The sequence below is a fragment of the Homo sapiens genome, chromosome 1, assembly GCF_000001405.40.
Source record: "Homo sapiens chromosome 1, GRCh38.p14 Primary Assembly".
In the NCBI taxonomy this organism is placed as follows: Eukaryota; Metazoa; Chordata; class Mammalia; order Primates; family Hominidae; genus Homo; species Homo sapiens.
Genome location: NC_000001.11, coordinates 66,261,141 through 66,276,146, shown reverse-complemented (window position 1 = coordinate 66,276,146; position 15,006 = coordinate 66,261,141). Strand labels below are relative to the sequence as shown.

Sequence of the window (15,006 nt, the reverse complement as noted above, 5' to 3'; positions counted from 1 at the left end):
TGAAATCAGAGGCACACATGTGGGCTTTGGACATTATCTAGTTTATTAGACCAGCAGTGCTAGCCAGACTAGACCCTAGAAATTTGAAGCCCCAAATACAACTGAGGGGGCAGAGAGAAAATAGCATTATCTGACCTGGCTGCCTGTAAGATTCAAATAAGCTGGATAATCGCCATGGTCCCAGCTTACTCTGTGGACACAGCCAGACAGGGGGTAGGAAAAATACAGAAAACTCCAAGGGGTCGCTTTTGGTGCTTGTCAACAGCTCTGACTGGGAGGAAGTCAAGACAATAAACCAAGAAAAAGATCCAGTGAGTTCTGTTGCCTGTTCTCTATTTTGAGGGGACAGTCCCTGCTTTGTTTCCCTCCTCTTGGGTGAAAGGCTGTTCCCTGAAATGCTCCTGGCTTCCGAGAACAGTTCTGGAGGCAACTTCATAATGTGCTGGCTCGGGGTTGATCAGAAGCAAGCAAGCAGAATTCACCCTGCCCCCAGGATCATACCCACTTGGGGAAGCAGGAGGCAGAAAAAGGAACTTCGGTGGTCCTCTTCCTTCCTTGTCTCTTAGCAAACTTCCATATTCATTCTTCTCTAGGCTAACTCCAACCTCCTTTTTTATCTCCCTCCCTTCCAATAAAGAGAGGAGAATGGGTTAAGATGGGTATGAGGTTGCTTTTTCCTTCTCAGCAGTAATTGGAGAGGGTGTAAAGTTTTTCCCAAAAGGGCCAATCCTCTTCCCTTCCTGCAGACTCTGCTAGTGGGTTTTGTCCTCTCTGCAAAGGGAGGCTTTGCACCAGCTCCTAGCGCTACTCCCTGCTAAGCTTCCTGGGTTGTAACACCTATGCCTGAATAGGTGTGTACCAACCCTGAAACATGTATTTCAATACAACTTTGATGTGCTGTACAAGCTGTAATGATGCTATCATATAAAGTGGCATCCTGTCAGGCTTATGCAAGACAGGGCTTTCAGTTAACTAAGATTTGGTTTACCAGAAGTCCTAAGTAATTTGACAATCTTTTTTTGCACTCTGCTTTTAAGAGAAAAAGCTGTATTTAGGGGTGTCCCTTTATATTTGGTGTCAGCTCCATTCTCCCTCCTGACTTTTCAGCTTTCCCATGTATGAGCTGGAGAACTCTACCTTCAGCTCTAAAACTATTTCTATATAACAAGATTTCTATAGTCTCAGGAGGAAAAAAAAAGTCTTAAACTTCAAAAATTACTCCCTTCAGATGGTATTATTATGGAAGCAAAGTAGACCAGAACCTTCTAGAAAGAGCTCAACAGGGCTTTCTGTTGTGGTTCTCTACTGATACCAGAAGGCTGGGATCTTAGCTACCACACATTGGTGGTTTGCTATGTGCTGAGTACTATCTGAGTCATGTTATATAACACTAATAACACCAATACTAACACTGGGACTTTCTACATGCTTTATACATGTTAACATATTTAATCCTTACAACCAAAACACACAATTTCCATCCTAATTTTGGAGACGAGGCAATTAGGACACAGAGAGGTTAAGCAATTTGTCCCAAGGTCACAAAGTGGTGTGGCTGGAATTTGAAAGAGGCAGTCTGACTCCAGAGTCTTCACTCTTAATCACTATATAAAGCTTTTCTCATTTAGCCCTTACAACAATCTTAACATATAGAATATTAAAATGCCCATTTTCAGCTGGGCGCAGTGGCTCATGCCTGTAATCCCAGCACTTTGGGAGGCCGAGGAGGGTGGATCACCTGAGATCAGGAGTTCGAGACCAGCCTGACCAACATGGTGAAACTCCTTCTCTACTAAAAATATATAAAAAAAAAAAAAAATTAGCTGGGTGTTGTGACGCATACCTGTAATCCCAGCTACTTGGGAGGCTGAGGCAGGAGACTCACTTGAACCTGGCAGGCAGAGGTTGCAGTGAGCTGAGATTGTACCATTGCTCTCTAGCCTGGGCAACAAGAGTGAAACTCTATCTCAAAAAAAAAAAAAATGCCCATTTTTCAGACAAGAAAAGTGAGTCTCAGAGAAGTAACTTCTCTGAAGGATTAACTGGGTTCTCAAACCAATTCCATTCAATATGCTACTTGAGTGCCTACTTTGTGGCAAGCACAATGCCAGGCACTAAGAGAACAATATAGTATGATAAAAATTCATTTAGTTGTTTTTCTTCCATTTCTTTTAACACTGCCACTTCTTCCTGAAGTGATGGATAACAAAGAGTTCACTTCAAGTGCCTTGAAAGTCACACGTTGTCAAGATTAGCAAGGGATGTCAGCACTATGCACATGTCCTGAGAGCTAGCAGATATTTCAGTAAGCCTTAACAAAGCTGAACATGAGCCTCACTTCCTTTCTAATCTTATCTGGTTCAGGCATGGGCATTATTTCATCCCTATTTGTTCAGTCCATAAACATTTATTGAGCATTTGCTATGTCCCGGGCTTTATGTTATAAATTGAGGATATAGAAAAAGAGGATTAGTATTTGAACTTGGGATGCTTTTAGTTTAGAATGGGAAAAAATGAAATAATTACAATACAGTATGACAAGTGTAATAACAGAGATTTTGAGATAATAATTAACAGTAATTTTGGGTGAGTTGCAGAAGGTATATCAAGAAGATGAAGGGTTAAAATGCACTTTCCAGAAGGAAATGGGTAAAGGAAGTAGTATTTCCTATGCACATAGTATATATCAGGGCCCAGGCCCTGAATTGAGACTATATATTTATTTTAATCCTGAATCCAAGAATCAGATGATATATAGAATTTGTTCACAGTGACAATGTGAAAAATAATCCCTGAGCTGAATATGTAAATGATATTTTGGAGAAAAGGCAACCAGGTAGAAGAAACAGCATATATGAAAGCAGGAAAGCAAGAAGATCCTGGTGTATTTCAGGGATGTATATTCAGTGCACTTCAGCCATCAGTTGTGCAGGGGGGTGGCAGCGTAAAGTGGGAGATGAGGACAAAGAAAGAGAGCAAAATTCTAAAGGCTTTTGCATGCCTGGTGAGACATTTAGGTCTTATCTTGAAGGCAAAGTATAGCTAAAGAAGAAAATAATGTAACCATAACTGGGGTTTATAAGAATAGTTCTACTTTGGGAGGCTGAGGTGGGCGGATCACAAGGTCAAGAGATTGAGACCATCTTGGCCAACATGGTGAAACCCTGTCTCTACTAAAAATACAAAAAATTAGCTGGGCACGGTGGTGGGGTCCTGTAGTCCCAGTTACATGGGAGGCTGAGGCAGGAAAATCGCTTGAACCCGGGAGGCTGAGGTTGCAGTGAGCCAAGATTGTGCGCCATTGCACTCCAGCCTGATGACAGAGTGAGACTCCGTCCCTCCAAAAAAAAAAAAAAAAAAAAAAAAAGAATTCTAGTACCAGAATGGAAGCTGGTTTAGAGTGGGGAAAGAATGAGGACAATAATAACAAGTTGGAGGACCACCACAATGCTTTAGGTACAGGATGATGGAACAATAAACAAAGGCAGAGGAAGTGGGGGAGAAAAGGAAAAAGATTAGAGAAAAAGACTAAAGGAGTTGGCTGTGGTAGGTGAAGAGGGAGATAAAAGGGTGGATGATGAAGATGCTACTCAAAGTCAGAAAGACAGAAAAAGGGACAGTTGTGTAGGTGAATGAATTTGGGTCTCCAGATGAACCAAAAGGGGTTACCAGAGGTAGTCAGATGTCTGGCATTTATATACAAACTTACTGATAAGTAATGGGGGTTGGGGGTCTCCAGGGAGTGAAGGTACAGGACTGAAGAGAGAAATGGGTTCTAAAACCAATGGGATAGTTTCTGACAACCAGATTTGAAGAAATCTGTCTGCTCAAGATGTCTCCCTAACTTCGATCCTGGAGGTGGAAGAGTCCAGATGTGTGAGGCGAATCTCTGGCTCTGACTCCTGGGGCTGTGCAGGTAAATAGAGCTGTCAAGAATGCCCAGAAAGAGGCACATGTTTCCTAAAGGGCTCTGCCTGCCATGCCTGGGAGCTGCATGACCAGGCTCGAGGCAGGCAGCAGCTAGGGTTTGGGAGGACACAGGCACGTGGACAGCCTCCTGTGGGAGCGCTGCAGATGAGGCAGCTGAGAGAAGTGAAGCTTTCTTCCCAGCTTCCTCCTCCACCCTTTGCTGCAGATCCCTGATGCTACAGCACAGTGCTAGCTGCAAAAAGGTTGATTCATAGATGAGGGGATGCAGCGACATGCCACGCAGGGATGGCAGAAAGTACAAAAGTGTGTGTGTGTTTGGAGGAGACTGTTTATTCAGGGAACTATATATCAAACACGACCTTACTGGCAGACAATAGTGATTTGCCTAAATAATTTATGCAACCAAGTCAACATCAAGATAGGCTGTGTAGAGCAAAATGTGAGACTCATTTTTAAAAGTGGGGTACCTCCCTTCATGGTCTCAATTACAGGAGATGCTTTTGCACACAAAACATTCAGGCAACAGTATCTGGGTATCTGCTTGAGCCTACTGTAACCAAAGAGAAAGAAAGGCCGGAACTAAAATGCAAAAGAAAGAAAGAAACTGTGTTTGGAGATAGGTCTGCTACAGTATAAACTTTTCCCTTTCTCTGGCTTACTGCTATAGCAAAACCTGATGGTTGTCTTTGTAAAAAACGTGTCTGTATCTAGGTCCCTGGCAGCGATTTGCCTCTGGGAGGGCCAGCAATCTATTTAATGACTCCATTGACGTCAATAGCATAACTGAAATACTTACTAACATGCATGATTCCAACTTTCAAGGGGAGGGTGGGTGGATGTTGTTTCTCAGCAGTACAAAAATGTGAAGTGGAGTCAACACGGAACGGACTCAACTGTTCAGGCAGCTAGTGAGAACTTAGATGAGGCCTCCTCGGTTTCATTCAAAGAGAAGAAATATTTATGCTAAATTTGCAAATTAATTTTGAACTAGTGAAATAACCATAATAAGCAGGGTGTTATATTTGACAATATCTGCTTAAGGGAAACATTTTAACGTTTGCACTTTAGCTGAGGTATTAATGTTTTTGCGAGTACCAATACTTAATTTTAGATATGTATGAAATAACTGCAAATCAATATAAACAGCTCAGTGTTGATGCTCTGGGGTAAACTTTCATAAGAGGGCTATTTTAGACAAAAGCAATTATTACAAAACAACCATTTGGAAAATTATTCTCAAAATAACTGGGGCTTTTCTGGTGCATTTTTGCTATCATTTTATATGCAGGCTGTCTAAACGCTGAAGGCGAGTAATTAAGGCAATTATTCCATTAATTCAGCACACAGAATTCAGAATAAGGAAGAAAACATAGTTTGATATTTCTGACTTTTTCTTTTTCCATTCTTTTTTATCTCTTTTCTTTCCTTTTTCTTTTTTCTTATAATTCCCTCTAATCTTTCCTTTATCATGACTGGTCAGAGCCTTTGGTCACAAGATTGATTTTATTCCTATTTGTCCGTAAGTGTTGTAATCCTGCCTGACAGTTCTTGCTTAATGTAGAAACCAAGCAAAGGTTCTGCTTGTGCTGGGCCTCATTTCCAGTCATCTGATGCAGCACTGCTCTCAGGCTATTGCTGTGGTTCTCAGAGAGCCCTTTACCCATGCACATATAGACCCTGTCTCATCACAGGTCCTGAAAGTTCTGGCAAAGAATGAGAACGGAATCAATGTCATGACTTTCTGAATTCCTTAAAATCGAAGATAACTCACTGACCCTCTTGTCCACTACTTGAAGAGACCCTGCATCTGGTACACCCACATGAACCTCCGGAGGGATAGTCATAATCAAGTAAAGCTATGGGCAGAACCTGTATGGAGAAATAGGTTTCCAAGGAGAAAGCCTCTTCTTCTGTTTTATCAGTTGGTAAAAAGCCAATTCCTCCCCAGAATGGCCTAGACACATATTAAAAGAAATGTCTCATACGATTTCTCTGAACACAGTCTTTTCTTGAAATGCATTCTAATTGACTGGTGTTGAAAATCACCATAAATCAAGGCTATGGATATCCAGGCTTTGATATCATTAGTATCTGCAGCAATCTGGCTTGAAGTCCTCAAAGTGATTCCCTAGTCATCTTGGTGCTATGGTTTGCTGTCATTTCCAGTGACCCATAGACTTCTGTGGTGTTTTTCATAACATCTGATCTGTTACCAGTGGTAATGTTCCTGCTCAGTAAATTTACTGATAAATTTTAGAAAAAGAAATTTAGTAGAGAGCACCCCACCTTATGTATCAAATTGGCTGCTAAAATATTGTATACATGATACATATTATTTTACATCAAGTCACATTTACATGACTCGGATGTGCTAGCCATTAAAAGGATGCTTCTCCAATCCTTCTATAAAGCAAAAAAATCATTTTGTAAAGACAGCGAACACTTGATAATTTATCTTTTCAGTAAATTCTTACTGTCATGACATATGTGTGATTACTATTGAAGAGCAAAGGATAGGATGGAATGGAAAAAAGGCGACAATTATCACACACACATGTGTATGCATGCACCCCATTTTCCTGTTGCAAATAGTTTTGGGACCTGAAATCCTGAGAATTACTTCAATTTTCTGTTGTGAATATGTACAGGTGACAGAATTCGAGTTCCTGCCTTATTTTGGAGTTTTCTTTCTTTTTCTATTTTTTCCTTTCTGTTTCAATCCTTGAGCACCATGTAGGGAGAGCCTGGAATTTATGCTTGTGAAAGGCAAAATGTGAAACAAATTCAGATGCTCATTAAACTACAACATTGGCATTTTCGACACCCCTAGGAGGATTTACTGCGTCTTTCTCCTCAACCTGGGAGCATATGGCTTCCTCGTTGTTCTTTCTGGGCTTGAAATTCTCCATTGCTCTACTCTGGCTTTCTTATTCAAAGTGCTAAATGCCAACTTCTTAGATTTCACTCTTTTTGTTCAAAACCTATACGAACACACTAACATATATAAGCAGTTATAGAGTGTGCTTCAAACCTCTATTAACTTCAGTGCAATAACTAATTGTTAACAGTGAAAAAACACAATTTGAATAATTTTCATAGCAATAGAGATAAAAATATTGGCTCATTATTAAAAGTTTATTTTATATGTATTTTACTTCACATAAAGTCCCCAAATTTTATGTAGTTTTCCCGGTCAATTCAACACTTACTGTGTTCTTACTATGTGAAAATAACTATGCGAAAGCACCATGAGTAATAAAAAGATAGATAAGGCACAGTCCCTGTCTTCAAGAGCTTTATCTCCAATGGGAGAGACACACAAGAAGCCTTGAATTAAAGTATATCAGAGAATTAAATTGTTGCCATAGCACAAAAAAGGAGCAATTATGCCAACTTAAAAAAAAATAAGATGTCTTTGCAAAGTAAGGACATTTGCATTGAGCCATGAGAGCTGATAAGAACCTTGGCTGGATAGTGAGAAGAAGGGTATTTCTGGTATTTCTTTCTTTATTTTCTTTTTCTTTCTTTTTTTTTTTTTTTTTTTTTTTTGAGATGGAGTCTTGCTCTGTCACCTGGGCTTGAGTTCAGTGGTGCGATCTCGGCTCACTGCAACCTCCGCCTCCCAGGTTCAAGAGATTCTCCTGCCTCAGCCTCCCGAGTAGCTGGGACAACAGGCACGTGCCACCACACCCAGCTAATTTTTGTAGTTTTAGTAGAGATGGGGTTTCACCATATTGGTCAGGCTGGTCTTGAACTCCTGACCTCGTGATCCGTCCGCTTTGGCCTCCCAAAGTGTTGGGATTACAGGCATGAGCCACCATGCCTGGCCGAAGAGGGGTATTTCAAATGGAGAGCTTTCCTTTGATGTATCCATTTAATATTTCAGTTAATAATCAATTTGTAAAAGTAAATGTACCAATTTACCATGGTTTCTGACAATTAGCTTTTAAAATAAATTGCATTTTTTCTCATTTATATGTTCAAAATAATAAAGCATTTTAAGATTTGGTATTTCTCTCTCTCTCTCTGAATTGCTCCAATACAAGAATACAGTTATCTAAGTCAGGCTTTCTGAGCAAACTAGGTTGTTGCTAAATCTGTTTAAATTGATGTAGATTTCTTGTACCTTTTATCTTAGATTTCAATTGAAATACATGAATTCAACTTCAGTACTGAGAAATAAAAACCTGATCTTACTATCATGAAAAATCATATTTTGAAGCAGCACTCCAGTTCTCAATTCTGTTTGCTCTGAGCCAGTTATTTTTCATTCCCCTTTAAAGTTTCTATTTAAACACACCTCTTTGTCATATGCTGATAAATATTAAAATAACAGGAAAAATCTGCCTGACTTATTTAAGCTGATAATAAGAACAAAACAAGGGATGTGTGTCTCCTCCTTCCTTTTCTAACCGTGGCTAAACGTTAAGGAGATTTTGAAACCCGTAATTACGTAGTAATTGGTATCACTACATTCTCTTCCCAGTGAAAAGCCAAGATTTTTGTAGTTTGCCACAGAGACAGAAGGAAACAAATTGCCTGAGTGGTACTGTCATTTCTTTGCTCCATTGTTTGAGAAGACTTTATCAAAAGAATCCCTAGTTGTCAAGCTGTAGTTGCTGTGCCAATAATCACAAAAGGATCTTTCCAACCACATCTTTGGTTAATGAGCTAATTTATAGAACCATAAATTGTACATATTCTCCTAATGTTTGTCAGTATTTATTACAAGAAAAAGAAAACATAGTCTAAATAATCAAATTGATGTAAATTTGGCTAACAGAAATGTGAGCAACATTGCCTCACTGGTAGGCCAATATGATGAAATGATTGGAGTTTCAAAACTACCTCCTTCGATCTCCAAGTATGTAACACGAGTTATATGTTAAAACATCCTATTTTGTTTCTTTTTATAAAAGTTCTAAAAGAAATAGTACATGCAGCACACCAGGTTTTTGAAGTCCATAGAGTACTGTTTACTTCTTTATATTTCATATTACGAGGCTCTAGAGTAAACTCACCTTTACTTAGTATCTTTCTTTCACTTTTTTTTCTCGTTCTCAATCTTTCTTTTATAAAAATATTTTAAAAAGCATGCACCACAAATACTTCAGAAGCCAATGAGCCAATAGAATCTGCTGCTTTTGTTCCCTTCTTTTAGAAGCTAAGCTTTTGTAATACTTCCGTTATACTTATGATCAGGATACCAGAAAGAAAACACAACAACCAAGAGAGAAAGATTTTAAGTATGAAGCGCTGCTGGAAATAGAAAAGCATGTGAGGCATCGTTAGGTGTCAGGCATTAGGTGATCTCAGTGTGAGTTCATCTTAATTGTTTCTCCTGTGGTTTTTCTCAAATCTACTGCTACATTAGTAGGGAACAGATTTAGGAGAAAACATTATTTGGACTTTAACAAATATCATAGAACTGGTTGCATTTTGTGTGAAGAAGAATTTCAGTTCCAACAGAACTCCATGGTGTTCCTTCAAGGTGGCCCTTCCTCTCTGCAGCTCTCAACACACCAAGAAAAGTGGATGCACTGTCCTGAAAGATGAGAGGTTAGGTTCTTAAAAAACAAAAAACAAAACAAAACAAAACACCGTTGAGGAACAAAGTTGGATGCCCTCCAAAAGAAATGATTCGTGACCTGGAAAGAGCCTTTGGTTTCACACCTGGAAAGGATGTAGATTCAAGTGGAATCTATAGTTGACATTAAGAGGGAAACCACTAACATATCCGCAGGGGCCCTCAGGCGAACGTGGAGCACCTTAGGTCTTCGATGTTAGCTCTCCTGGAGTTTATTGGGGCCAGCAAGCTGAGGTCAAGCTGCACTGTCAATACAACTCTGTCTCCTGCTCCTCTTTGGGGAAGAGGCAGCATTACCCCATGTTTATCATATTCTGAAAGCCTGCACATACAATGGGCAAATTATTTAGTACTGCTTTTAATGTGGTTTTAATAGAGTGAAGTAATGCTCCAGTGTACCTTAGAAAAAAGTCACCAAGAGACATACTTTTGAGAGCCACAATATGCAAACAACACTATTGTTCTAAAAAACAGTTCTGAATAAGAGGCATGTTTATTATTCTATCTTGAAACATCTAGATAGACCTTATGACATGGCCTACCTTGTGGGTTGACTCTGGAGACAGGAGGCTGACTAGCAGCTGGGGACCTCCTGTGGAGACAGAGAAAAGAAGGACTGAGTCTGTGTATCAAAACTGCCCATTCCACCCCCGACACCCCACCCTCATGGTTACTGAGGACTTTTCCAGGTCATAATGAACTATGTAGTGACATAATGCCATCTCCGGAAGGCAAGCTCCTGTAACCCGGGTAGATGACTGCAATTCTCTCACATCCAGATGGCCTGGAATTTCCCTCTGCAAGTCCTCAGGATGCTCAGACTCTCCAGGAAGGAAGTTGTTTACTCCAGGTCCCAAACCAGCCCCCTGTTTTAAGTTTTGCTGTTCCAAGAAGCCCTGAGAAAAAGAGTCACTTGCTCAGGCATCACTCGAAATGCCAGAGTGAATCTCAATTCCTTTGGGCAGTGCTGTAAAAAGTTATAGCCAGAGGAACCCTTGGCGATCAATCACTTCAGGCCCCTAATTTTTGTACCTCAGGAGACAGAGACCTAGAGAGGTGAAGTCACTTGCCAAGGTCACACAACCACTGGGAACAGTCATCCAGCTTGCTTTACTTAGGGAACAGAATTTTCATGGAGGAACTGGGACGTCATTCTACATCATAACAAGCCTGCTGATGTCAGGGGTTAAATGAAACAAGCAAACCCATGTTCCCATAGTACTGGGGCTCCTCCTTTTTTCTTGTTTCTTTTCCTTTCTCTGCCCCTAACCTTTCAATTTCACTGCTCTTACCCTTCTTCTCATGTTTTGCAGAACTTCTACCAGACTCTCCTGTTTCCTGATGCACTGCTGGAAAACTTCTCAGGAATACTATTGAGCGGGGCTCTCAAATTTTAGGGTGCATCAGAATCACCTGGAAGTCTTATTCAGACACACTGCTGGGCCCTACCCCCAGAGTTGCTGATTCAGTAGGCCTGGGATGGGCTTAAAAGTTTGCCCTTATAAAAAGTTCCCAAGTGGTGCTGATGCTGCTGGTCTGAGGACCACATTTTCAGAAACACTGGCATTAAGGATTCTCTGCTCCACTAAGGAGTAACAGGACATTTGCAATGAGCAAGAGAGTGAGACTCTAGTCCAGTGGTTCTCAAACATGGATACGCAGCCGACTCATCTGGGGAGCTATTAAATTTCTTTTTCCAACCCTGAAGAGTCTATTTCAGTATATCCGAGATGAGGCCTGGGAATCTGTAGTTTTCACTTCTTTTTGCATTCTCTTGCACAGGCAAGCGTGAGAACGAAGCCAAATTCTAAATGACAAAGAACAGCCTGCATCGTTGTTGCTAAAGAAGAGTCTTCCTACTGGTGTGGCCACAGAATTAATTCCCTAGGTTTTTCTACTGCTCTGAATTAATCTCTGGTCCTTTAGGGACAATCTAGCTTGTAGGTACCCATACCTAGTAGCCGTAGTCTATAGACAGGGTCCACATCTACCATTAATTTACTAGCTGGGTGATCTTAGGCAGGGTACTTTTAAACTCTCAGTGGTATGAAATTTTCACATGTGACAAGAGAAGGGAAATTATCATATAGTGATTGCTTTTCTCTGCTAGGCTGTGCTAGGTATTTCTTAGCTTCCACTGGGAGTATTATCACCCCATTTTAAGGATAAGAAAACTGAAGCTCAGAGAGTTTAAGAAACATACTGACACATGATTTATAATTGGCACAGCCAGAATTCAAAGCTAAGTCTTTCTGAACCCAAAGTGCATGCTCTTTCCACTATACTATATGCTGATAACACCTGCACTAATACTGAGGGCTGTTTTTCAGGAAAATTAAGAGATTAAATTCCAAAATCCTTAGCCTGGCATTCAAAGTCTTTGCTCTCTAGCCCCAACATCCTTTTCCCAGCTTATCTCTCATAATTCCTCATTGCCTGACATTTCATCTCAGACCACTGACTGGCTCTGTGCTCTCATGCATCCTGTACTTCTCTTTTGTAGCACTTTAAAATTATAGCTTAAATAGGCTCTGTCTAGTTAGTGTTCAATACATAGTTCCTTTGATTAAATGTAAACATTATGTGAGCAGGGAACAACTTGTTTACCGCTTGATCCCTGGCACCCAGGATGGTCCTTCATATGACAAGCATTCAGTAAATACTTATTGAATAGAAGAGTGAATGAATGAGGGACAGAGCTGACTCACACTTGCCAAGGCCAAACTTGAACACTTCTTTTTCCTTGAATATGTGCTGCCCCTTTCCTGCCATTATTCAGGCCATTCATTCCCCTGTCAAGGAAGCTGTCTCCACACCAAACAATCTACCCATCAAAGGTTAAGTTAAGGTTAACTTAAGGTTAAGTTACCCATCAAACCTTCTCCAAAGGATGCCATCCTCTTAGCCAAGAATGGTCTCTTTAATCTCTCATGGTGCTTTATTTGTACCTTTAGGGTCATTTCTTCATGTTACAGTCCATATTGGCACATATTATCTCCACTGGTAATCTGTGACCTGTTGATGGCAGGATCCAGTTCTGATCTCTTTGCTTACATACTCTTCAGGTCCCGCCATATTGCCTGGCAAATAGTAGGAACTCCAAAATGTTAATAGAATGTAGATTGAATAACCCACTGATGTGAAAGTGATTTGAGAACCAAATACTCTATATGAATATTTTATCTGGTTTCCTTTTCACATACAGTCTTGGTTCTATATGCCACTTGCTGTTCCTCGAACACAGCACTCTCTTTTGTTGCTGTGCCTTTGCACACATTTTGCTCAGTTGGATACTTTTCTTCTCTTTATGTGGCTAGCTCTTTCATATGTCCTAGGACTCTGCTCAGGCATCACCTCCTCAGAGGAGCCTTCCCTCTGTGAGTGGCCCTCACCTGTGTTCTGTAGTTTCCTGTGCTTACTGAACCACTGCATTGCTCATTCTATATTGTATTTCCCATTTTCCTGTCTTTCTCTTCAACTCATCTATGAGAAATTTAAGCAATGATTGAACATTGTGCACCACTGTAACACAGGGATCTGGCATAATATTTGCTATGATGGAGGTACTCAACACATACGCACTGGATTAATAATGCATTTTAATAATTTTATCTTACACCTTTTCCTGAGTTCCAAAGAAGACTTTTGTGAAAGAAGAAACTGAACTAGGAGACCCCAAATGTCAGAAATCTCTACTTTCTTTATAGCGTGTCAAATCACAGTGCCTAATTCTCTCAATGACTTCTTGGAAATTACTCATACTATACAAATTCTTTTGTCTCAGAAGTTAATTTTGAAAATATGGCTTTATTTAGAGTTGTCAATTCAGATAAGCATCTCTGTGTGGAAGCTTTGGAAAGGCAGGGACCATGTTTATTTGGTTTGTCAATTATTCATGAGACCTGGTGCAAAGAAGAGGCTCAATACATTTTCAATGAATAAATGACTTCTGCAAGCCACATGATTGCTTGTAGGGCATGAGAATGCCAGACAGAAAATTGTAAGGAATGCCAGAGGAAAGTGGTATTGGTTGCTCAGTTTCCAAAGTCCGTAACTTATGGAAGAATCATAAGAAGTTACGTGGCTGATTGCTGAAGATGGTGATATAAATAGGGAAGATAATATGGCCATAGCAGTTCATACTTTCCAGCCCTGAATAGCACAGTGGAGACAGAACTGGACTGTGACTAAGAAGACAGGAATCCTAATCCTGGCTCTGGCACCTTCCCACTGTATAGCCCTTGGGCAATTCACGGAACCTCCTAGTTTCTTCCTCACTTGAGAAGAGCAGGCAGCAACTAACATTTACTGGTGATTTACAACGTACTGAGTCCTGTGTGAGGAGTTTTACCTATGTTGCTTCACTTCATCTGAGGAAATTTGGCTAGGTTCATTCCAGCTCTGAACGCTAAACATTTTATGATCCTCAGTTAATTTAATTCACATGCCAAAGTACATACAGCAATAAAAGACATTTTGGATAGATATGCACTAAAAAAATTAAGTGGTTATTAGTTCTTTCCTGAAGATTACATACATGTTCATTAAATTATGCTTTGGAAGAATGTTAATACAAAGAAGTTACATTATTTCCTGATAGCCACAGGTGACATTCATGATGTTGATGACAGAGTCGATTGATAAATGACACCTATTTGCTCCCAGCTCCATCCCCTGGCTATCAGACTGCTGAATGGTGGGCACACTCACTTGCGCACCTGATTACTCCAGCAGTCTGTTTAAAGTCAGCAAGTGCTTTAAGAACGCTTATCTGAATTAACAACTCTAAATGAAAGCCATATTTTCAAAATTAACTCCTGGGACAAAGGAAGTGTAGGTTTTAATTTGCAGCCAAGAAATACAGGTCCAATCAAGCATCCCTCAATGGGATATTTCATGAAGGTGCAAGGAAACCACCTCAACAGGAACTTTGAGATTTCCACCCTTTGAGTGGTAAAGCACAAGCAGACAATGGACTGCTTTTATGCACAGCAAAGAGCCAAAAGATAAAAGAAATCTTGACTTATGAGAAGTATAGTTCTATGTGGGAGTTCCTTTTCCTACAATAAACCACACTAACCAGATGTCTCATGAAAACCACTCCTAGGACACAATTATTGCTTAAATGCTACATTCAAGGCAGGGAGTGGCACCCTGGATCTGAAGTCAAGTATATCAGAAAGGAATATCTGAGTTCCATGAATTCTACAGTTTCAGCTGTTAAGATAACTCTGTGTATATGTGTGAGTGTTTGTGTGTGTGTCTGTGTGTGTGTTCGGGTGGGGGTATGCTTTCTGTATGTTGTATCCATTCCTGCCAAACATTATTGTCTTCAGTTCCTTCTCTTGGCTTTTCTTTAGTTGTTTGAAGGTATTCACTATCTAGAAATAAAATGGAGTGCATTAAATGGACACTCAGTTTTCCAGCCTGCCCCTGCCAGACTGCTCCAGAGATGGCTAATTGATTTCATTGATTTCAGCTCCCTGATG

General features: G+C 40.3%; 1 protein-coding gene across 7 annotated transcripts in view; it reads right to left on the bottom strand.

Annotated features, from left to right (window-relative positions):
- The window catches only part of PDE4B (phosphodiesterase 4B), a 582,070-nt gene that overhangs the window by 98,433 nt on the left and 468,631 nt on the right, over positions 1-15,006 (bottom strand). For all 7 annotated transcript variants that reach the window (NM_001037341.2, NM_001297440.2, NM_002600.4 and 4 more), the window contains one exon: positions 10,060-10,109. In NM_001037341.2, coding sequence (NP_001032418.1) covers positions 10,060-10,109 — 50 coding nt within the window. The remainder of the gene's footprint in view (positions 1-10,059; positions 10,110-15,006) is intronic.